Source organism: Homo sapiens, chromosome 2, assembly GCF_000001405.40.
Source record: "Homo sapiens chromosome 2, GRCh38.p14 Primary Assembly".
In the NCBI taxonomy this organism is placed as follows: domain Eukaryota; kingdom Metazoa; phylum Chordata; class Mammalia; order Primates; family Hominidae; genus Homo; species Homo sapiens.
In genome coordinates, this window is record NC_000002.12 from 74,549,861 (window position 1) to 74,569,642 (window position 19,782).

The 19,782-nt window shown below is 50.5% G+C and overlaps 3 protein-coding genes across 25 annotated transcripts in view, besides 7 other annotated features; 1 reads left to right on the forward strand and 2 right to left on the reverse strand.

Annotated features, from left to right (window-relative positions):
- The window catches only part of LOXL3 (lysyl oxidase like 3), a 23,445-nt gene extending 17,603 nt beyond the window's left edge, over positions 1-5,842 (reverse strand). For 2 of the 6 annotated variants that reach the window (NM_001289164.3, NM_032603.5), the window contains exons 1-3: positions 4,016-4,082; positions 2,462-2,786; positions 325-488 (exon numbers count right to left, since the gene is read on the reverse strand). In NM_001289164.3, the coding sequence (NP_001276093.1) occupies positions 325-488; positions 2,462-2,774 (477 nt within the window). In that variant the 5' untranslated portion in view covers positions 2,775-2,786; positions 4,016-4,082. Of the gene's footprint in view, positions 1-324; positions 489-2,461; positions 4,083-4,979; positions 5,134-5,800 lie in introns of those variants that run through there. The other 4 variants (XM_024453177.2, XM_024453176.2, XM_011533134.3 and 1 more) reach the window with 4 other exon arrangements.
- Positions 1-7,691, forward strand: part of DOK1 (docking protein 1) — an 8,447-nt gene extending 756 nt beyond the window's left edge. The window contains exons 1-5 of one of the 6 annotated variants that reach the window (NM_001318867.2): positions 4,860-4,999; positions 5,296-5,593; positions 5,715-5,808; positions 6,034-6,218; positions 6,448-7,691. In NM_001318867.2, the coding sequence (NP_001305796.1) occupies positions 4,971-4,999; positions 5,296-5,593; positions 5,715-5,808; positions 6,034-6,218; positions 6,448-7,254 (1,413 nt within the window). In that variant the 5' untranslated portion in view covers positions 4,860-4,970 and the 3' untranslated portion in view covers positions 7,255-7,691. Of the gene's footprint in view, positions 1-4,859; positions 5,000-5,293; positions 5,594-5,714; positions 5,809-6,033; positions 6,219-6,447 lie in introns of those variants that run through there. The other 5 variants (NM_001381.5, NM_001318866.2, NM_001197260.2 and 2 more) reach the window with 5 other exon arrangements.
- Positions 2,902-3,196: a silencer, noted in NCBI's record as "tiled region #13004; HepG2 Repressive non-DNase unmatched - State 4:PromP, and K562 Repressive DNase matched - State 8:EnhW". NCBI's record gives its function as "represses a minimal TATA promoter and a strong SV40 promoter by Sharpr-MPRA in HepG2 and K562 cells {active_cell/tissue: HepG2 | K562}" and the evidence as "EXISTENCE:reporter gene assay evidence [ECO:0000049][PMID:27701403]".
- Positions 2,902-3,476: a biological region, named in NCBI's record as "Sharpr-MPRA regulatory regions 4995 and 13004".
- Positions 3,182-3,476: a silencer, noted in NCBI's record as "tiled region #4995; K562 Repressive DNase matched - State 8:EnhW". NCBI's record gives its function as "represses a minimal TATA promoter and a strong SV40 promoter by Sharpr-MPRA in K562 cells {active_cell/tissue: K562}" and the evidence as "EXISTENCE:reporter gene assay evidence [ECO:0000049][PMID:27701403]".
- Positions 3,182-3,476: an enhancer, noted in NCBI's record as "tiled region #4995; HepG2 Activating non-DNase unmatched - State 4:PromP". NCBI's record gives its function as "activates a minimal TATA promoter and a strong SV40 promoter by Sharpr-MPRA in HepG2 cells {active_cell/tissue: HepG2}" and the evidence as "EXISTENCE:reporter gene assay evidence [ECO:0000049][PMID:27701403]".
- Positions 4,202-4,951: a silencer, noted in NCBI's record as "silent region_11670". NCBI's record gives its function as "represses an Ori minimal core promoter by ATAC-STARR-seq in GM12878 lymphoblastoid cells {active_cell/tissue: GM12878}" and the evidence as "EXISTENCE:reporter gene assay evidence [ECO:0000049][PMID:35858748]".
- Positions 4,960-5,477: an enhancer, noted in NCBI's record as "H3K27ac-H3K4me1 hESC enhancer chr2:74781947-74782464 (GRCh37/hg19 assembly coordinates)". NCBI's record gives its function as "activates a minimal SCP1, AML or CMV promoter by ChIP-STARR-seq in primed H9 embryonic stem cells {active_cell/tissue: H9 hESC(primed)}" and the evidence as "EXISTENCE:reporter gene assay evidence [ECO:0000049][PMID:30033119]".
- Positions 5,102-5,161: an enhancer, noted in NCBI's record as "active region_16077". NCBI's record gives its function as "activates an Ori minimal core promoter by ATAC-STARR-seq in GM12878 lymphoblastoid cells {active_cell/tissue: GM12878}" and the evidence as "EXISTENCE:reporter gene assay evidence [ECO:0000049][PMID:35858748]".
- M1AP (meiosis 1 associated protein) overlaps positions 8,023-19,782 on the reverse strand; it is a 90,448-nt gene continuing 78,688 nt past the window's right edge. For 7 of the 13 annotated variants that reach the window (XM_047443431.1, XM_047443430.1, NM_001321739.2 and 4 more), the window contains 4 exons: positions 12,357-12,563; positions 10,291-10,431; positions 9,838-9,849; positions 8,023-9,014 (listed from right to left, as the gene is read on the reverse strand). In XM_047443431.1, the coding sequence (XP_047299387.1) occupies positions 8,856-9,014; positions 9,838-9,849; positions 10,291-10,431; positions 12,357-12,563 (519 nt within the window). In that variant the 3' untranslated portion in view covers positions 8,023-8,855. Of the gene's footprint in view, positions 9,015-9,837; positions 9,850-10,290; positions 10,432-11,713; positions 12,564-19,782 lie in introns of those variants that run through there. The other 6 variants (XM_047443432.1, NM_001281296.2, XM_005264152.4 and 3 more) reach the window with 4 other exon arrangements.

Consider the following 19,782-nt stretch of genomic DNA (forward strand, 5'->3'; position numbering starts at 1 on the left):
AATGGCTTTGAAGGAGGAGAAAGTCAGAAGGAAGATGTCTCAGGAAAGCAGGAACATTTGAGGAGAAGGAGAGCACCAGGTGCCCCAGGGGTGACTAGGGATGAAGCTGGAGAGGCTCATGCCAGGTTTAGCCCCTTGAATGTGAATGCTAAAAACCTGTTGGATTTTACAGCATCTGGGAGCTCTATCATTTGCTTTTCCAAGTCTCCCACCAATCCAAATGATCCCCCAGGGGTAACTACCTTCTAATGTCTCCGCTAACCACCCCACAGTACTCTCGGCTATCCTGGGTAGTGTGTGTGTGTATGTCTAGGAAATGCAGACCTCAATGACATTGGAGTCCGAGAAGCCAGGGAGGCGCTGGTCTTTGCAGATGACCCCAGCATCCTCATCGTGCGTACAGTCACTGTTCCCCCAGCCCCGGGAGGCACATTCAGTCACACTCTGCTCGGTCCCACTGCAGCTCAAGTTGTCCAGCCAGATGCGGCCTGTGGAAGGGGAGATGAAGGGACAGAGAAGCTTGGGGAGGGAGGATGGGGGAGTAATGGGGATGTAGGGAAGAGTGAGTGCTGAGGCCTCCCACTTGGCCATGATGATCCCATCTTTCTGGTATGATAAGGGGTGGAGACGGGACAGGGGACCCTGGCAGGGAATAGGAAGGGGGCATAAGATTGAGGGAAAATTGGTGTGATCTGGGGATACTCAAGAACCTGATACGGTGAATAAAAAACCAAGAATCAACCCTGAAGTTCTGATCAGTCTCTACCCATTCATTGATAGCTACAATTAATCAGGTACCTACTGTGTGCCAGGTGCTCTGCCATGGTGTGCACATATGTGATCATTCTTAGAACAGAGCTGCCAGAACACTGTTTTATATAAAGAAACTGGGGTTTAGAGAAGCTGAGCAACTTGCTTAAGACCATAAAGCCAATACGTGGGGGCTTAGGAGTTTGATCTATCTGTGAGGCTTGGATGTCTAAGATCCTTTCTTCACATCCTTGCATTCTCTCTTGTGCCCGCCCTGTCTGTGCTGCCATATAGCCCCTTGTTCTTCTCTCTGTCTGAAACCTGTTTTTTTTTTTTTTTTGAAACGAAGTCTTGCCCTGTTGCCTAGGCTGAAATGCAGTGGCATGATCTCAGCTCACTGCAACCTCTGTCTCCCAGGTTCAAGCAATTCTCCTGCCTTAGCCTCCCAAGTAGCTGGGGCTACAAGCATGTGCCACCATACCTGGCTAATTTTTGTATTTGTAGTAGAGACAGGGTTTCAACCATGTTGGCCAGGCTGGTCTCGAACTCCTGACCTCAGGTGATCCACCCACCTCAGCCTCCCAAAGTGCTGGGATTATAGGCGTGAGCCACTGAGCCCGGCCTGAACCCTGTGGAGTATCACTGGCTTCCTCTCAGAATTGGGCGCAGCCTCAAAGGTCATCTGTCCTAGCCAATGTTCAAGGACATCTCATTCACATCCCAACAGGACTTACCCAGTTGTTGCGGAGACACCTAGCTCCTGCCCCACCAGACTGTGTAACCATCAAAGTCCTTGTGACTCTTCATGACTTTCCCCTACCACATCTGATTCATTCCTTTGGTGCCAACCAGAAAAATCCTTCAGCCACACGACTGTCCTTCCCATATTTAAAAACAACCATTACGCCATTGCTATGCAAGGTTTTTACTTTCCATATCAATCCCCTGATTCTTCAGCAATTCCTCCTTGAAACTTGGCTTCTGAATCTTTCACATCTAGGCAGCTCTCCTCTGAAAGTATTTCCATTTTCTACTGTCCCTCTTAAAACACAGCATCTACAAATGACACTTAATTCCACAGGTGGTCTAGCCAGTGGGAACTGGGGAATCAGCTGCAGGTTGCACCTGCTTCTGTCCATCATTCCCACTGTGGGTTCATACCATGGGCACAGTCCTAGGCCTCACCTAGGGAACTGCTCTTAAGCCTCCACCACCCACACTCATACTTGTCCTAGATTTTATACTTGTCCTTAGACAGTACCACCTTGTTAGTTTTAGCTCTGGCCCATAACCTGATTTTGTTAGCTGCAGTGTCTGTGACCCCTTGTGACTTTGGGACATCCAGATATCATTTACCTGCTCTTAGCGTCCCATGAGACTAACTGTACTTTATTTGTACAGGGCTCACCTGTATCTGGGCTGTTTTGTGGATGGCTTTGTAGGATCATACTTTTGCAGCAGAAAAGAACTTAGACATCATCTAGTCATTTTGCATACAGGGCATCTGAGGCTCAGAGAAAGCACTGACTAGCCTAAGGTCACACAGCTCTGGGAAGTAACTATGTTGCTTGGTTTGTCATCCATGGATTTACTCAATGCTGGCTGTTCTTGGTGTCGTGTGTCCCTATGGCTGTGCCATCCTCGTGTTCCCTTTCCCTGCACTTTGGCCACACATAGGAAATATCTAGGATATGCCTGGATCATTGCTCACCTGTTCCAGGGCCATATTTGGCACTGTGGGTCCAGCCTGTGGCCTCTGTGAAGCCCAGCTCCCGGCAGAGGATGTGGGCAGCCTGCAGCGTGAAGTCATCATCGCAGATGGTGCCCCATTCACCAGCTCGCTGTATCTCCACGCGGCCCTCGTAGGGCTTCCTGGGGAAGCCAGCCAGCCGGAACCGAAGCCCCTGGCTCCCGGCCTTCTTCTCAGGGCCCGTGGAAGGGGACGGAGACCCCAAGCACGAACTGCACAGCAGGCACAGCAGCAGCCCCCAGGGGCTCCACTGCCAGACACTGACAGGTCGCATGGCAGGGAAGGCCTGGGTGCCCCAGAGACAAAGTGTGCGTGAGAGAAACAGATTGAGTGGGGCCCAGAGTCAGAAAGAGAGGGAGAAGTCACGAAAGAAAAACAGACACTGAGTAAGACAGAGACAGCGAGAGACAACAGGAGAGAAAGAGCCCCAGGGACCAAGAGACAGGGAGAGAAACACATTAAATAAGGGCTGAGGCACAGGTCATAGAGGCACAGCCTGAGAGACCCAGAGATAAGAGACAACTATGAGAGATCGAGAGTCAGAGAAGGGTCAATAAAAAGAGATAGAGACTGAGCAAGAGACACGTAGAGAGAGAGGAAGACCCAGACAGACAGGATGTGAGAGGAAGGGAGACTGTGGGAATGAGAGAGAGAAAACCAGAAAGACACAGAGGAGAGAGACAACGGATAGAAAGTGATAGGCAAAGAACTAAGCACTCAGTATAGGGGAACCAAGCACACCGCGGGTGAGAAGGAGAGGGATTGACAAGAGCCAAGGGGCGGACGTGGGAGGGATCCAGATGACCCCATTTACTCAGAGGGAGGACAGACAGCTGTACTGATTGTGCAGAGAGGCACGTAAGGGGCCCTAGGCGGCCCTGGGATCACAGATCCCCTGAATGGGAGCCCAGAGTCCTAACCCAGCAGATTCCCAGGCAGGGAAGGCTGGCACCAAAGCTCGCCTGGAGAACCTGCTGCACGCCCTCCCCAACACGCAGGCTCTCAGATGCCCTGCAGGGTCAAGAGGCCCAGGAGGGCCAGGCCTCAAGGCTGGGCGGGGGATGGGGTAGGGTTGTCCCAGCCTCCTGCCAACACCACCATCCCTGTCACCGGGCAACGGGAGGCCAGGCGCTATGGCTCCTCAGCCAAGGCCTTCTCTGCCTAGGGCTGAGAACAGCCCCTCTACAGCAAGCCCCCGTCAACATGCTTCCCCCAACCCAAACAATCAATCCAACAAGGCAGCTTTGTTCTGGGTTGGGGACCCAGGGGCAGCGCCTCCCGGAGGAGCCCCCTCCCTTAGGGCGCTCCTGGCGGCCCTGTTCGAACACCCGTAGCCCCCGCCTCCGGTATGTGCCTCCTCCGTGTACTCTGTCTCACTTGCCCTTTGACAAGAATCAAACTCTCAGTTGGGTGGCTTCCCCTCGACTCCATCCCACACCACCCGTTTTCCCTGGTCCCTCCACATCCTCTCCATCCCCTACTCATTCCCTCTGCGGTTAGCGTGACTCCCCCTACCTTGGCCGAGCAGGACCCTAAGGGCTGGGAGAAGAGTGCTGGTCCTGGAGATCAGTCCTAGGACTTCCAAAAAAAAAAAAAAATGCTCGGCCAGGGGAGACTGGACCCCCCTCTCTCCCCCTTCTCCGTTCGTCCCTCCCACATCCCCCTGAGCCCTCCCACATTCCGCCTTCTCCTTCCATTCCTCCCGGCCAGTTCCCTCCTCTCCTCCTCTGGGTCCTCCCTCCCCGTGGAGCTGGCCACTGCCGCGCCCCCTCCCCCTCCCTGGCCCTCCCGGCTCGTTCAATGAAGCTTTCTCTTCCCGCGGCATGGAGGCCAGGCCTCTGCGGTCAGGGAGCTGACATGCAAGCGGCGGCCGGGCGGCGGGGCGGCCCCGGTGGTGGCGGGAAGCGGTTCAACCCCAGCCCTCCCTCCGAGTCCCGGGCCAGCGGAGTCTAAACAGCCCGGCTCGGGCGGGGCTGGGGGCGGGCCCGGCCAGGGTAAATAAAGCCCCGGAGGCCCGTGTGGGTCTCTCCGGTGCCCGGGGCGCTTTCGGGGTGATGTCATGGCTTTCACTCTGACGTCACCTTGGGCATATGACGTCACGCGCAGCCACCACGCCCAGAGGCCAGGGCCCTCGCGCCAAAACCGAGGACTTTCGGTGGAGCCACTGGCGCGCCCCCACGACGGCGGGTAGGGGCCTGGGGTGCTGCAGCTCCCGGCTAATCCGGGGGTCTCCACCATTCCTTCTCGCTCCTCTCCCTCACCCCACCGCGACCCCCCCAGCGGCTGCCGGCGGGGGCCGGGGAGGGGCGGAAACTCCTCCAGGGAACCCGGCCCCGCCTCCCGCCCCGCCTCCCGCCGCAGGGCCAGGAAGCGCGGAAGGAACCGCCGGGGGCCATGGACGGAGCAGTGATGGAAGGGCCGCTTTTTTTGCAGAGTCAGCGCTTTGGGACCAAGGTAGTCTGGCGCATGGATGCCGAACCTTATCCGGGCTAGTAGTGGGTGAGAGAGCCCAGAAACAGGGAGAGGTGGGCAGCGGGCTGGAGAGCGGCGCCGGGAGTTGGAGAGCCTGTGACTTTCCCGTGAAGTTGCTTTGCACACTCCCGGGAAGCGTCTGTAGTCTAGGGGTTCTGGTCCTGGGGAGACGGAGTGGCATCGTCCTTGGGAAACTTCGCCCCCAACCCCGTTTGGAAGCCCCAGATCCCAAATCGACTTGCGCCGCAACCTCCTTCCCCGTCGGGACCCGGGCCGCCTGCGCACGCCACTCCCTCTCGAGCACTCTCTCTCTCTCCCTAGAGGTGGAGGAAGACCTGGGCCGTGCTCTACCCGGCCAGTCCCCACGGCGTAGCGCGGCTCGAGTTCTTTGACCATAAGGGGTCGAGCTCTGGGGGTGGCCGAGGGAGCTCGCGCCGCCTGGACTGCAAAGTGATCCGTCTGGCTGAGTGTGTGAGTGTGGCCCCCGTCACCGTGGAGACCCCCCCTGAGCCCGGCGCCACTGCCTTCCGCCTGGACACTGCTCAGCGCTCGCACCTGCTGGCGGCCGACGCGCCGTCCAGTGCAGCCTGGGTGCAGACGCTGTGCCGAAACGCCTTTCCGGTGAGGAGCTGCGGCGATGCGGGGTGGGGGCAGTTACAGAGGCAGAGAAATGGGGCTGCCTCAGACCGACCCCCGCTCCCCGCTGAGGAAATTACGGGTTTCTCGATGCTCTCTACTACAGAAAGGCAGCTGGACTCTGGCGCCTACCGATAACCCACCTAAGCTTTCTGCCCTGGAGATGCTGGAGAACTCCTTGTACAGCCCTACCTGGGAAGGTAGACGCCTCAGAAGCCCGGGCAGGGATGGAGTGAAGAGGAGGAGGGCCGAGGGCCTTTGGGAAGTGGGTGGATACCCAGGGGCCCATGGGGAAGTAAGAAGTAGGAAGGCCCTGAGATCTGGCTTCCGAGTGAGTGCTTGGACACTATGCTCATGAGTCCTCTGGGTCCCCACTGCTGCCCCCGTCCCTCCCCCGCAGCTGTCTAATCGTGTATGCCTTCCAGGATCCCAATTCTGGGTAACGGTGCAGAGGACTGAGGCCGCCGAGCGCTGTGGCCTGCATGGCTCCTACGTGCTGAGGGTGGAGGCTGAAAGGCTGACTCTCCTGACCGTGGGGGCCCAGAGTCAGATACTGGAGCCACTCCTGTCCTGGCCCTACACTCTGTTGCGTCGCTATGGCCGGGACAAGGTGCAGGGGCTGTCCGGGAGGGCTTCCTGGGTTGGGCAGCTGTGGGAGGGGTGGGGCAGGACAGAAAGTGGGAAGCTCTGACCTTTGGATCCCCCTTTCTTGCCTACCCGGTGACCCCGCGTCTGTTCGCAGGTGGTCTCTTCTTTGTAGATACCCTAACTAGTGCAGGCGTGTGACTCACTTCCTCTGATGGCTCCTGGTAATGTGTTTCCCCCTCTACCCTCCTTAGGTCATGTTCTCTTTCGAGGCCGGCCGCCGCTGCCCCTCAGGCCCTGGAACCTTCACCTTCCAGACGGCACAGGGAAATGACATCTTCCAGGCAGTTGAGACTGCCATCCACCGGCAGAAGGCCCAGGGAAAGGCCGGACAGGGGCACGATGTTCTCAGAGCTGACTCCCATGAAGGGGAGGTGGCAGAGGGGAAGTTGCCTTCCCCACCTGGCCCCCAAGAGCTCCTCGACAGTCCCCCAGCCCTGTATGCTGAGCCCTTAGACTCCCTGCGCATTGCTCCATGCCCTTCCCAGGACTCCCTATACTCAGACCCCTTGGACAGCACGTCTGCTCAGGCAGGAGAGGGAGTACAACGGAAGAAACCTCTCTATTGGGACTTGTATGAGCATGCGCAGCAGCAGTTGCTGAAGGCCAAGCTGACAGACCCCAAAGAGGATCCCATCTATGATGAACCTGAGGGCCTGGCCCCAGTCCCTCCCCAGGGCCTTTATGATCTGCCTCGGGAGCCCAAGGATGCATGGTGGTGCCAAGCTCGGGTGAAGGAGGAGGGCTATGAGCTCCCCTACAACCCTGCCACTGATGACTACGCTGTGCCACCCCCTCGGAGCACAAAGCCCCTCCTTGCTCCCAAGCCCCAGGGCCCAGCCTTCCCTGAACCTGGTACTGCAACTGGCAGTGGCATCAAAAGCCACAACTCAGCCCTGTACAGCCAGGTCCAGAAGAGCGGGGCCTCAGGGAGCTGGGACTGTGGGCTCTCTAGAGTAGGGACTGACAAGACTGGGGTCAAGTCAGAGGGCTCTACCTGAGAAGGACGGCAAGGCTGAGGTGGCTAAGGGGGACCATGGGGAGGTGGCACTAGGGATCAAAGAAGATGGTTAGAACCAGCAGAAGCCAGAGGGTGGGAGGGGCCATGCTGTGTGAGACCAGGGGACCAGAGGGATGGGAGAGTCAAGGGAAGGACAATCCCAGGAAGTCCTAAGAAGTGGGGCAGATGGCAGGGCTGAGGATGGGCTCTGCATCCCCCAAAGCCATCCCTTCCCTACTTCCCCAAATGAAGGGACGGCTGTGGGACCAGGTCTGTGGAAAGTGGTGCATGGTCAGAATGGGTGCAGTTTGAGGGGCCTGTGTGGAGGCCTCAGGGAGATGTTGGACTGTGCCTGGATCCTTACTCCTGCATTGTTCTTTGCCAGAGACCTATTTAAAAATTTTAAAATTCTCATTAAAGTCAGCTTGGGTTTAAGAAGTTTATGTGTGTGAAGAGAAAAAGAGGGGACACAGTGGTTGGGTTGGGTGTGGTGGGGATCAAGAGGAGAACCAGGAATGTGTTGAGAGTCACGGAGAGGCAAGGGGCCCAGGAAGGGAACAGAAGTGTGGCGGTTCAGTGCCTGGGGAGTCAAGTCAAGCTGCCCTGGGCTAGATGTGAGCTCTGTGGCCCTGGGTGATAACATCTGCAACCCTCAGTTTCCCCTGTGCCCCTCTGTAAAATGGAAAAGCTATAATGGGCTCTACCTCACAGGGCTTTTTGTATGAAATTAGATACATTATAAGTATTTAGTGTAATCTGAAGCACAGGGTGTTTTTTTAAAAGTTTTTATTATTTATGTAGAGATGGCGGGGGGGTCTCACAGTGTTGCTCAGGCTGGTCTCGAACTCCTGGCCTCAAGTGATCATCCCACCTCAGCCTCTCAAAGTGTTGGGATTACAGGTGTGAGCCACTGCTCCCAGCCCAGAGTAAACATTTTATAAATGGTAGCTATTATTCTGTGGATGGAGGGAGCAACAGGAAGGTTGGTACATGTGGGGAGAGGGTAACAGGAAAGGAGTAGGTCTTTTTTTACACCATCCTCTCCCCTGTTCTGGGCAGCCCTCCCACCCCCCAGCACACACACTTTGCATGTAGGTACCAAGCACTTGTCTCTTTGGAGGCTGAAGCCTGGTGGTGTAGTGGGAAGGGCACAGGCTCTGAAATGAGGCTTGGATTTCAATCTTACTTGTCTTTTATGAGCTTTCAAAACCTCATCCTTGTTCCTGAGGTCCAGTTTACCAAAGGTGATCTGACCTCATCCACCTGCTTACACAGAGCTACAAGAAGAAATTCTGAGTTATGAATGCTCCTAACAATGGTAGAAGCTTACTGGGTGTTTAATCTTCACCTGTGTAAACAGTAGCAAATGATTCTAAAGAAAATGAAAGTCCTTGCTGGAGAAAGGACAGGCTCGGGTGTGTCGCTTCCAGACTTGAGGAGTGGGACAGCACTGAAACAGGACAGGAAGGCTGTTGTTTCCCAGTCAGCCCTCACTCACAGAGGCTCAGGCGGATAGAGAGCAAGTCTGACCACAGATAGCCATTATGTGAACCTGAGCATGGATATGGTTAAGCTGGGCAGCTGGGCTCTGGTGCTGGTGACTTAGGGCCTTGAGGGATCCTTCTCCCACTCTGAAGGCAGGAAGAAGGCATCTGAGGAAGATTTGCTGGCTGCTGGCATCTTGGAGGCTCTGCCTGGGACAGGAGTCATAGGCAGGGGGGCCACAGTAGCTCGAGCTCGGTTGGTCTGCAACTGCCCAGTCTGCAAAGAGAGCAACCAGAGCCTTCTCTGAAGATCAGAGTTTCTGAGCACCTATCCCATTCTCTGTTGGGCTTCCTGTCCTAACTCTTTCCTAAGTTCATTCCCTGGAGTGACAGCCTCAAGGCCGAGGACAGTGATCTGGAGTCCCTTAAGCCCAGCCTCCACAGTGCCTGTCTCCTTGCCTGGTGTCCTACCTCTGGCAGCTTGCCTAGCAGCTAACTTGTGGTAGCCTCTGCTCCTACCTCTGGTTTGGAAACGTCCTTCTGTAATTTTAGCTAAGACAAAATGAATTTTTTTTTTTTTTGACAGGATCTTGCTCTGTTACCCAAGCTGGAGTGCAGTGGCACAATCTTGGCTCACTGCAGCCTTGACCTCCTGGGCTCAAGCAATCCCCCGACCTTAGCCTCCCAAGTAGCTGGGACTACAGTGTGCACTACCACTCCTGGCTAATTTTTTTTGTATTTTTGTAGAGACGAGGTTTTGCCATGTTGCCCAGGCTGGTCTCAAACTCCTGAGCTCAAGCGATCCACCTGCCTCGGCCTTCCAAAGTGCCGGAATTATAGGCATAAGCCACCGTGCCCGGCCTAAAATGAGAATTTTTCTAAAGGCTGTGTTACTAAGAAACTGAGAAAAAGTTAATAAGGGCAAAAGGAAGCCCAAATATTATATAGAACACGGGTTTCATAAAAATATTTCTCTATCCTCAATCACTCTTCCCTCTTCAACCCCAACTGTCTTCAACCCCAGATAGTCATGGGAGTCCTCTCAAGTTACTAATCTTGGTCAGCCTCCTTTCCTCATCTGTAAATGAGCAAACACTTACCTTGCAGGGATGCTGTGAGGATTAAATGAGAAAAACATATAAGCAAGCACTTATCATAAAACCTGGCAAATGACTGGTGCTCTATAAATATTAATTTCCCATCCCTTGGGCATTTCTTTTCCCACCTTTCCTTCAGCCTTTTCTTTCACGAGGACTGTGGTTATAGTTCCTGTGTAGCCAGTTTGCTTAATGGGACAATGGTCTGTTTAATGAGCTATCATAAACACTACAATTAAAACACCTGAACATTATTATATGTAAATGCCCTAGCAAACAGGCCTCCCTACCCAGTAAGGGTTCTAATTTTCCCCTCCACCAGGGGTGGATCCTGGAGGAAGGCTACTCCCTTGGATGGGGGCGGTGTTGGGATGGGGGAGGAGGGTTTTCTAGGACTCTGGGCATGAAGGGGAGGGAGGGGAAGTAAGGAAGAGGAGGGAAGGAGGGGAGCGGTACCTTTCTCGGAGCTCGGCTCTCCCAGTGTGGGTGGAGCCGCCCCTGAGGCTTGGCATAGATGCTGCTCAGGTGTGAGTACAGGTGGCTTTGAACATGCAAGGGGTTGTAGGTGGGCTCCAGCTCCAGGCTGTCCAGCATGCTCTGAGGAAAAGAGAGGAGGGGCCTCACTAGGGAACTTAAGATCACAGAACACAAGATGTCAGGTAGCGATCCAGGAGTGTGAGGGGCTGGAGGAAGTGTGAAACCCCAGGGCTGCCATGAAGGCTGTGAAATAGATGCTGTCCCCCTGGGTGTTCTGGCCTGAGGTCCAGTGCTTGTGATGTAAGGGCCAGGCATGGATAGGAGAAGTAGGAACAACCCTAAGTGGTTAGGAACACTGAACACTCTGGCCCCAAGATGCATGTCCAGGGGTTCTGAGGGGGCCGGCGCACATGAATGCTACAAGGGATCCACTGTGAGCATGGAGGGAGGGTGTGTCAGTGGGCTACCCTGCAGGGCAGGGTGCTCACAGCCTGCAAGGCGAGTACATGGAGTTCTCAGCCTAGAGGTGAGCTGAGCTGAATGGAAAGGGAGGAGGGGATACAGGAGCACAACATTCCTGTGCAGTCAGGTTTTCCGGCCACAACATCCTGTGCCAGGAACCACTGGCCCCAAAGTGAGACACTGAGCAGGCCATGGCCACTTGTGCCCACCTCTCTCTGTGTCTCTGTGGCCGCCAAGCCAAGAGCACAATCCCAGGCCTTGTCCTTGCTGCATTTAAGCTAGCGAGCCAGCAGCGACGTGGTTCCAGTTCTCCCTACCCAGAGCCAGCCCTCCCACTCTTAGCCTGGGGAGACTAGCAGAGCAAATATAGAGAATCCAGATCCCAGGAAGAGGAAAAGGAGAAGGAGGAGAAACAGGTGGAGGAGGAGGGGAGGAGGAGGAGGAGGAGGAGGAGGAGAAGGAGAAGGAGGAGGAGGAGAAGGAGGAGGAGGAGAAGGAGGAGGAGGAGAAGGAGGAGGAGAAGGAGGAGGAGGAGAAGGAGGAGGAGGAGAAGGAGGAGGAGGAGAAGGAGGAGGAGGAGGAGAAGGAGGAGGAGGAGAAGGAGGAGGAGGAGGAGGAGGAGGAGGAGAAGAAGAAAAAGAAGGAGGTAAAAATGGCTTTCAGAGTTGTTTGCTCCTCTGCATCTGCATCTATCACATCTCATCTTGAAGCCCTTCCTATTTTGGGCACCTACATTGGCTGCCTTTTCTCAACAAACATAAATGAGCGCAAACACAGGTATACACATATGCACACGTGCAATGCAGACAGACCCCTAAGAACACACCAGCACACAGATGTGCACAGGCGCATCTACACCCACTGCCACCAATTTAGAGACCCAACCACAGACACACTCGGGCACAAAAACACACAAAGACACGAAAACCCATACAAAGGCTGATTTTTTGGGTCTCCTTTTATTCCCTTCTCCCTTCTTTTTTCTTCTGCTTTCCACTGTGTCTTCTTTCCTTTCCCTCCCAAAGTTCTGCTCTCCCTTGTCTAACTTCACAATCTCCTCTCTGGGGAGGAGGTGGGGGCAGGAGAACCAGTCTGCGCAAAGACAAAACCAAACCAAACAAGCGTCCAGTGCATCCCCAGGAGCTGGACCTGCTGGTGTTGTGGCTTCCTCCCCTGCCTCCCTGTGCCCTGGCCTGACATCAGGTTTCCACTCTGTGATGCTCCCTTTTCTCCTTCACAGCCACCCATTCCTCAGATTTCAGGTCCGTGTGCATGTCGTGTGTCCTCCAGGATGGCTCTAATTCCCAGTCATCACTGATGCCAATATCCCTTTTCTCTCCCAGTTTTTTGTTCTCAAACCTCATTTCCCTCCATTCTATTTCACTCCTTACCCTGCTGCCATAATCTAAGTGTTTACTTCCTTCTTCTGGCATAATTGCCTATCCTTGCTTTCTCTTCTTACTCTCTTACCACACTCCTTCAGCTCCGCATCCATTCCCTCATGGGCTCACTCCTCTCCCTCATCCCTTTCTCAAACTCCATTCGCTTCTAGATCTGTCCCATGAGATCTGGGCTCCACTTGCCTCCACATTCTTAAGGCTATCATCATGTGGGTCCTCAGGTAGCAGGGGGAAGGTGCTGGGCAGCATCAGTTCCCGCGTGGCCACCGCCTTTACCAGCAGTGTGAGGGAGTGTGACGGCATGATCACATAGAAGGTGCTGGCAGGAATTCTCTGGCTGTGTCCTGGGCCCGGTGGTTCCCCCTTGGCTAACAGCAGCCATTCCCTTTTCTGAAACAAGGACATACAGAAATACTGGTTCATCTTTAGTCTATGGCATGGTTTGAGGATCAGTCCCAATTGAAGTTTCCCTGACTTCCAGGGGTGCTGAGGAGGGCAGAGCCATTTAACTTCGGCCCTGGTAGGGAGGGACTTCCTGCATGAATCATCAATATCACAATGTACTACTCTTCCTCCCTGGTTTGAGATATGCCAGAGAGAGTATATAAAAGGGTCAACAATGGAGAGAAAAGTTAAGAAATTCCCTGTAACTTGAAGTAGGTGTTCATCCCAGAGGGGCCTACCACATTCAGCATACATGTGGACTTTTAAGAATTATAATTCTTAAAAACAGAGTCTTGAAGCCCATGGTGCGTGACTGTACCCGTAGCTACTCAGGAGGGTGAGGTGGGAGGATTCCTTGAGCCTAGCAGATCAAGGCTTCAGTGAGCCATGATTGTACCACTGCACTCCAGCCTGGGTGACAGAGTGAGACCCTCTCTGTCTCAAAAGGAAAAAGAAAAAAGCAGTGTCTTGAAACCAAGACTTGTATGGGGTGTTGTCTGTTGTAGAAATTCAGTTCTTCTTTTGAGGGTAATAAAGTCTGGTTGTTTGCTAACAACTGGGATTAGAATGGGCTGACTGGGCAGTATCCCTGGAATGTCCAGAGAGGGTACAAGGTAGTAAGGCCAGATGTGGTGGCTCACATCTGTAATCCCAGCACTTTGGGAGGCCAAGCCAGGAAGACTGCTTGAACCCAGGAGTTCAAGACCAGTCTGTGCAACATACCAAGACTCTACAAAAAATTAAATAAATAAAGATAGATAGATGATTGATAGATAGACAGACAGATAGAGAGAAGGCAGTGAAAGCAGCCTGCAAAGTGGGAGGAGAAAGAGAGAGCAGGGCCGGGAGCGGTGGCACACACCTGTAATCCAGCACTTTGGGAGGCTGAGGCGGGTGGATCACCTGAGGTCAGGAGTTCTCGACCAGCCTGACTAACATGGTGAAACTCCATCTCTACTAAATACAAAAAAATTAGCTGGACGTGGTGGCGCATGCCTGTAATCCGAGCTACTTGGGAGGCTGAGATAGGAGAATTGCTTGTACCTGGGAGGTGGAGGTTGCAGTGAGCTGAGATTGCACCATTGCACTACAGCCTGGGCAATAAGAGCGAAACTCTGTCTCAAAACATAAAAAAAAAAAAAAAAAAAAACATAAAGAAAGAGCAGAGGGAGAGGTGGGTGGGTGCAGGGCCCTTGAGATCATCTCAGCCAATCACAGGACAAGAAGAGTCAGGATTCTGGGGGCAGTGCCTCTGTGGATGATGGGTTATTATGGAACAGAGGGTGGCACTTTGCCATGTGCCATGGTGATGGCAGAGGTTAGGGCATGGGTAAGAAGAAGAGACAACCAGACTTCTGAGAAGATTTTGTAGATGTACCCTTTTAAATGAGCCATGAAAATGAGGCAATTTTTTTTGTGGTAGCTTTTCAACAAAAAACACAAAACTCCAGGAAATATGGAGTTAGAACTATCATAATCATCTCAAACTGTGTCCTCTTACTGGGGGTGATCTTCAGTTACATCTGGTACAAACCGTAACAACCTCCCTGCTACATAAGATAGAAGAAAACACATGAGTTCTGGCTACTCTTATATGAAAAGTTGAGACAAATAATAAAAGAGGAAAGGCAAAAAGGGGGAAAAGATTTTTAGAGGAAAGAGGATTATCAGTGTCTTGTGGAAGACAAATAGAAAGTGACACAGTGAGACAGAAAACACTTGCTGTAGCATGAGAGTTAGACCCCACGGGACACATGCTGGGGTGGGTGTAGGGGAGGCTCTGCACTTTAAAGCAGTGTCATCATTCTGTGCAGTGCGGAGCTCTGAGGAGGTCTGGTAGGCACAGCAAGTGGTAGGAAACCTGTTAACAGCTCCAAGAAAAACAGGTATGTACCATTCCTGCGGTTGCTGACCTCTTTGTGGGGTAGGACTTGACTGATAATTCGGGAGGCATGATGCATCCTCACTAGAAGGTTTTGGGGGTGGGACAGATGATTTGGGCATGGGAAAATTAGTCATAATCATAATTACAAACTTTAAAGGAATGCTTATCAGGCACCAGGTACTGTGCCAAGAGCTTTATGCGTGCCTTCAGAAGTTCATGCTTTCTTAGCATTTTGCTTCTATCTAGAGATGTGCTGTCTTCCTGAAGAACAAATCCAAATGTGCAGGAAAGTCAGCTTGATGCTTAAAATCCATCATGTTGGAAATAAATGGTATACAAATCATGGTGTGTGTGTATGTGGATTGTGGGTTGGACCTGCCCCTGCTCTGAGGACATGGCCTGTTTAAGCCTGGAAGGGATAGAAACCAGGAAGTTTCAGGGGACTCCATTTCAGTTGGCTTAAGTAACTTCTGATGGGGCTCAGGATTTGGATTATTAGTATTATTTTAAATCTTCTATTTTTACATTGATTCGTGCATTTACTTGTGAATTTTTTGTCTATTAAGAATTTATTCAGGCCAGGCACAGTGGCTCACGCCTGTAATGCCAGCACTTTGGGAAGCTGAGGCGGGCAGATCAACTGAGGTTAGGAGTTTGAGACCAGTCTGGCCAACATGGTGAAACCCGGTCTCTAATAAAAATACAAAAACATTAGCCAGGCATGGTGGTGTATGCCTGTAATCCCAGCTACTCAGGAGGCTGAGGCAGGAGAATCACTTGAACCCGGGAGGTGGAGGTTGCAGTGAGCCGAGATCACACCACTGCACTCCAGCCTGGGCGACAGAGCGGGACTCCATCTCAAAAAAAAAAAAAGAATTTATTGAGCGCCTATTATGTTCCAAGCACTAGGTGTGGGTACACAGAACCATGCCAGAACAATGACATCATGAGAAAAGAAAACTATAGATCAATATCTCTTATTAATATAGATACAAAAACCCTAACTACATATTAGCAAATCAAATTTAGCAACATATAAAATGAATTATATACTGCAACAAAGTAGGATTTATCCCTAAGGCTGGTTTAATACCCTCAAATCAACTGATGTAATATACTATATTAACAGAATAAAGAACAAAAACTACATAATCATCTCAATAGATGGAGAAAAAACATTTGGCAGCCGGGCGTGGTGGCTCACACCTGTAATCCTAGCACTTTGAGAGGCCGAGGTGGGTGGATCACAAGGTCAGGAGTTCAAGACCAGCCTGGCTAATATGGTGAAACCCCATCTCTACTAAAAAAATACAAAAATTAGCCGGGAGTGGTGGCACGTGCCTGTAGTCCCAGCTACTCAGGAAGCTGAGGCAGGAGAATCACTTGAACCCAGGAGGCGGAGGTTGCAGTGAGCCGAAATCACACCACTGCCCTCCAGCCTGGGCAACAGAGTGAGATGCCGTCACACACACACACACACACACACACACACACACACACACACAAACATTTGGCAAAATCCAACACCCTTACATAATAAAAATGCTCAGTAAACTAGGAGTAGAATGGAACTTCCTCAACCTGATAAAAACCTCTATAAAAAAATCCACAGCTAACCTCATATGTAGTGGTGAAAGAGTGGATTCTCTGCCTCTAACATCAGAAACAAGGCAGAGATGTCTGCTCTTGCTACTTCTATTCACTATTGTCCTGGGAGGTGTGCTGAAGACCAGAAGGTCATTTTCCACATTTTCTGTACTGTGTTAAGCTCTTTGGATTCTGGGTATGATCCTAGGGGTAGAGGCACCCATGAAGATATTGCGTGTGTCAACATCCTGGCCCTTGGGAACCAATGCTTTCTAAATTTGATTTAGAAAAATATAGTAATGTGACATTTCTCATATCAGAGAGCTATGGTGCAAAAGGTCTAGATAGATGTGGCAACAAGTACATGGGTGTGGAAAGGCAAGAAAGATGAATGGGGATAGGCTGTGGTGGAGGCAAGAAAGGCTTCATACCGAAATTATTTAAGCAGGATCTGGAAAAAAATGAGTAGATATTTGTCAGGTAGACAGAGGCAAAAGGAAGAGAACAGCATGAAAAAAGGTGTGGAGGTGTGAAACAGTTCAGCATATTTGGAGAACATTCAGTCATTTATTAGTGTGACTGGGGGGAAGATGCGAGGGGCGTAGGTGAAAGATGAAGCAAGAGAAACAGACAAAGCTAGGTCACAGGAAGCCCACTGACTCACGCTAGGCTGCTGTTCTAGCACCTGTCTATCCCCCCCACCCGCCCAGATGCTACACTGTAACCTCCATCATTCTGTTCTCGAATGGCTCCTGACCTGCCATCACCCCACTCTCAGCTTGGATTCTTGGTCTTGAGTCTTTGCCTATTTAACCAAGCACTTTCCATCTCCCCACCCAGTTATAGCCCAACTGGCTCATTGCCTGTGTACTTAGACTCCTGCTGAACACATCATGGCTTGAATCCTGTAACTTCTGTGGCCAATTAGGGCAGACATGGACTGTAAAGCTCTGGAATGTGTCTCCAGAGACTCTGACATTTTAAGTAGGAAACTGAAAGACCTAGGTGGTATTTTCATTTCTTTTTCTAGTTCACACAGACATGACTTTGTAATTGAAATGAGGATGTGGAAAGTGAGTCACTAGCTACATAACTAGGACTATACAGCAAGATTTGGTAATAGAAATGATATTTTCCTGGCAATGGATAGATTGATCTCATAAAGACTTGGAAAAAATTAATTTTATTTATATATTTATTTCCTACCACATTCCACAAAACAGCTATGCCAGTTTAGAAAAATGGAACAGCATAAAAAGATAAAATAAATAATTAAGGGGACTGGGTAAAAGAAAAATAAAAGTAGGGCAATAATACAGCCAGGATTAGATAAGCTCACAGAAATACAAACCATCCACTTTTGCTAGAAGGGAGCCCCATAGCCTTTCCTGATATAAAATGTGGGAGAAGCTGTCTGTGGCTTCTTATTGAGTAGTGAATATATTTCAGAGCACTCCTGCAATCAATATGCTGATAAATTTCATGTAGCTGTAGAGTGGTGTAGAGTTTGGGGCCTGAAGCCAGCCTTTCAATCCCTACTCTACCATTTACTCTCTGGGCCTCAAATTCCTCATCTGTAAAACAGGGATAATAATTCTTACTTCATAGAATGGTTATGGGGATAAAATAAGTTAGTAGCTGTGAAGTGTTTAGAACTGTGTCAGGTACATGGTAAGCACCATGAAGTGTTAACTTTTCAAAATGAAAACTACATTTAATTATGAATGTTTATTTAACTTTGTTAAATTAAAAATACGTGAATAATTCTTAGATATAGATCTATAAAAGCTCCAAAGAATGCTGCCAAAACACATAGCTTTCTTGTGGTCTGTATTAATCTAAGAGTGACATTTACGGGAGTGGTGGACAACACATATTTTTCAGAAAAGACTGGGAAAAGTCTTGCCTATCTGATGAAGTGATCATTTTCTGAGGAAAAGCAAGTGAAATACCTGAATAAAGCAAAATAATCTGTGAGGAAGACAGAAACAATTTTCAAGTGAAAAATCAGGGAATGAAATAACAAGCCTGTGATTGACTAAGGCTTAGAGTATGTGTAAAATGTAATTTGAAAAGTTACACAACATTTATAGTCGACGAGGACTGGTGCGTTGGCACTAATCACTACGACTTAAGGGCAAGTGAAGAGGCAGTGGTTGAATAAACTGAGCAATACCCACACTTGTAAGGAAATCCAGGAGCCTGAAAATGAAAACATGGTGAAGCCGGCCAACTGGCTAAGGGGAACTTAGAAGATGTGCTGTTATGTCTGAACAGATAGCAAAGGGGGAATAAATGAGCATTTAATAAACATCTACTTCTGCATCTAAGTGGGTTACAGTGGCCAGAGGCAGACTGGTTCTCCTGCCTAGAACAATCGGAAAAGCTGGATAATTTGTTGGAAGGCAGTAAGGAGTTGCTGAGGCAATGAGATCTAGAGGTAGCTAAGCCTCTGGAGAAGGAAGAGTCCGGAGAGATGAGGGAATTATTGCAGCTGCTTATACCCTGGGAGTATATGTTGATTCTGGGACAGAGGGCATGGTGGTAGTGGTGGTTGGAGAAGCTGAGAATCCAAGACTTCCACCTGTGGAGGCAAGTTCAGGAGAACAGAGAAACTAGCAGATTTTTTGGTGGAGACTTGGTGGTGGGAAGGGATGGGAATCAAGTCAATTTTCCCCCAAACACATTTGCCAAATATTAGGGCTCCATGGGGCAAAAGGCAAAAACACTTAAGGAGAAAGCTTCCAAAAAGTAGAATGTTTTAGCAGACTTGGGAGCCAGTGATTAGAGGTGGGACCTTCCAAAGGGAGGGGATATACATAATACACCAGGCTTTCAGTGGAAAACTCTGGAGGGCCAGGAACAAACCCTGGATAGACTGAGCATTAGCAGGACTGCAGCCCAGCCTTGACTCAGCACAGTTTCTAGTGAAACAGGATGCTCAGCCACCACTCTGTCTGCCTAGTGTGGGAAGGGTGAGCCCTCTCTAGAGAAAGCTAACACCAGCTGGAGTCTCTACAATTTATTTATATATGTTATTGCCAGGTGTGACAAAAGACATGTGCCACATGTCTGAAAACCAAGAGAAAAAAGAGACAATAGAAACAAATCCATAAGTGATCCAGGTATTGGGGTTAGGTGACAAGAACCTTAAAATAACCATGATTAGTATATTTAAGAAATTAGATGAAAATATGGAGAATTTCTTCAGAGAATTAGAATCTACAAAAATGAAACAAATGGAAATTGTAGAACTGCTAACCAACCACTATGTGGAAATCATGTGTTAGACATGTGCTGGGTGCTTTACACACGCAATATTTAATCATCTTAAAAACCACATGAGGTATATTTTATTGTCTATATTTTATATGTGATGGGACAAGAGTTACTAATGTGTGTGTCATGCACCTTCTCCCTCACTCTACTTTTTTTTTTTTTTTTTTTTTGAGATGGAGTCTCACTCTATCACCCAGGCTGGAGTGCAGTGGCGCGATCTCGGCTCACTGCAACCTCTGCCTCTTGGGGTCAAGTGATTCTCGCGCCTCCCGAGTAGCTGGGACTACAGGCATGTGCCACCACCCCCAGCTAATTTTTGTATTTTTAGTAGAGATGAGGTTTCGCCATGTTGGCCAGGCTGGTCTTGAACTCCTAACCTCAGTTGATCTGCCCACCTCTGCCTCCCAAAGTGCT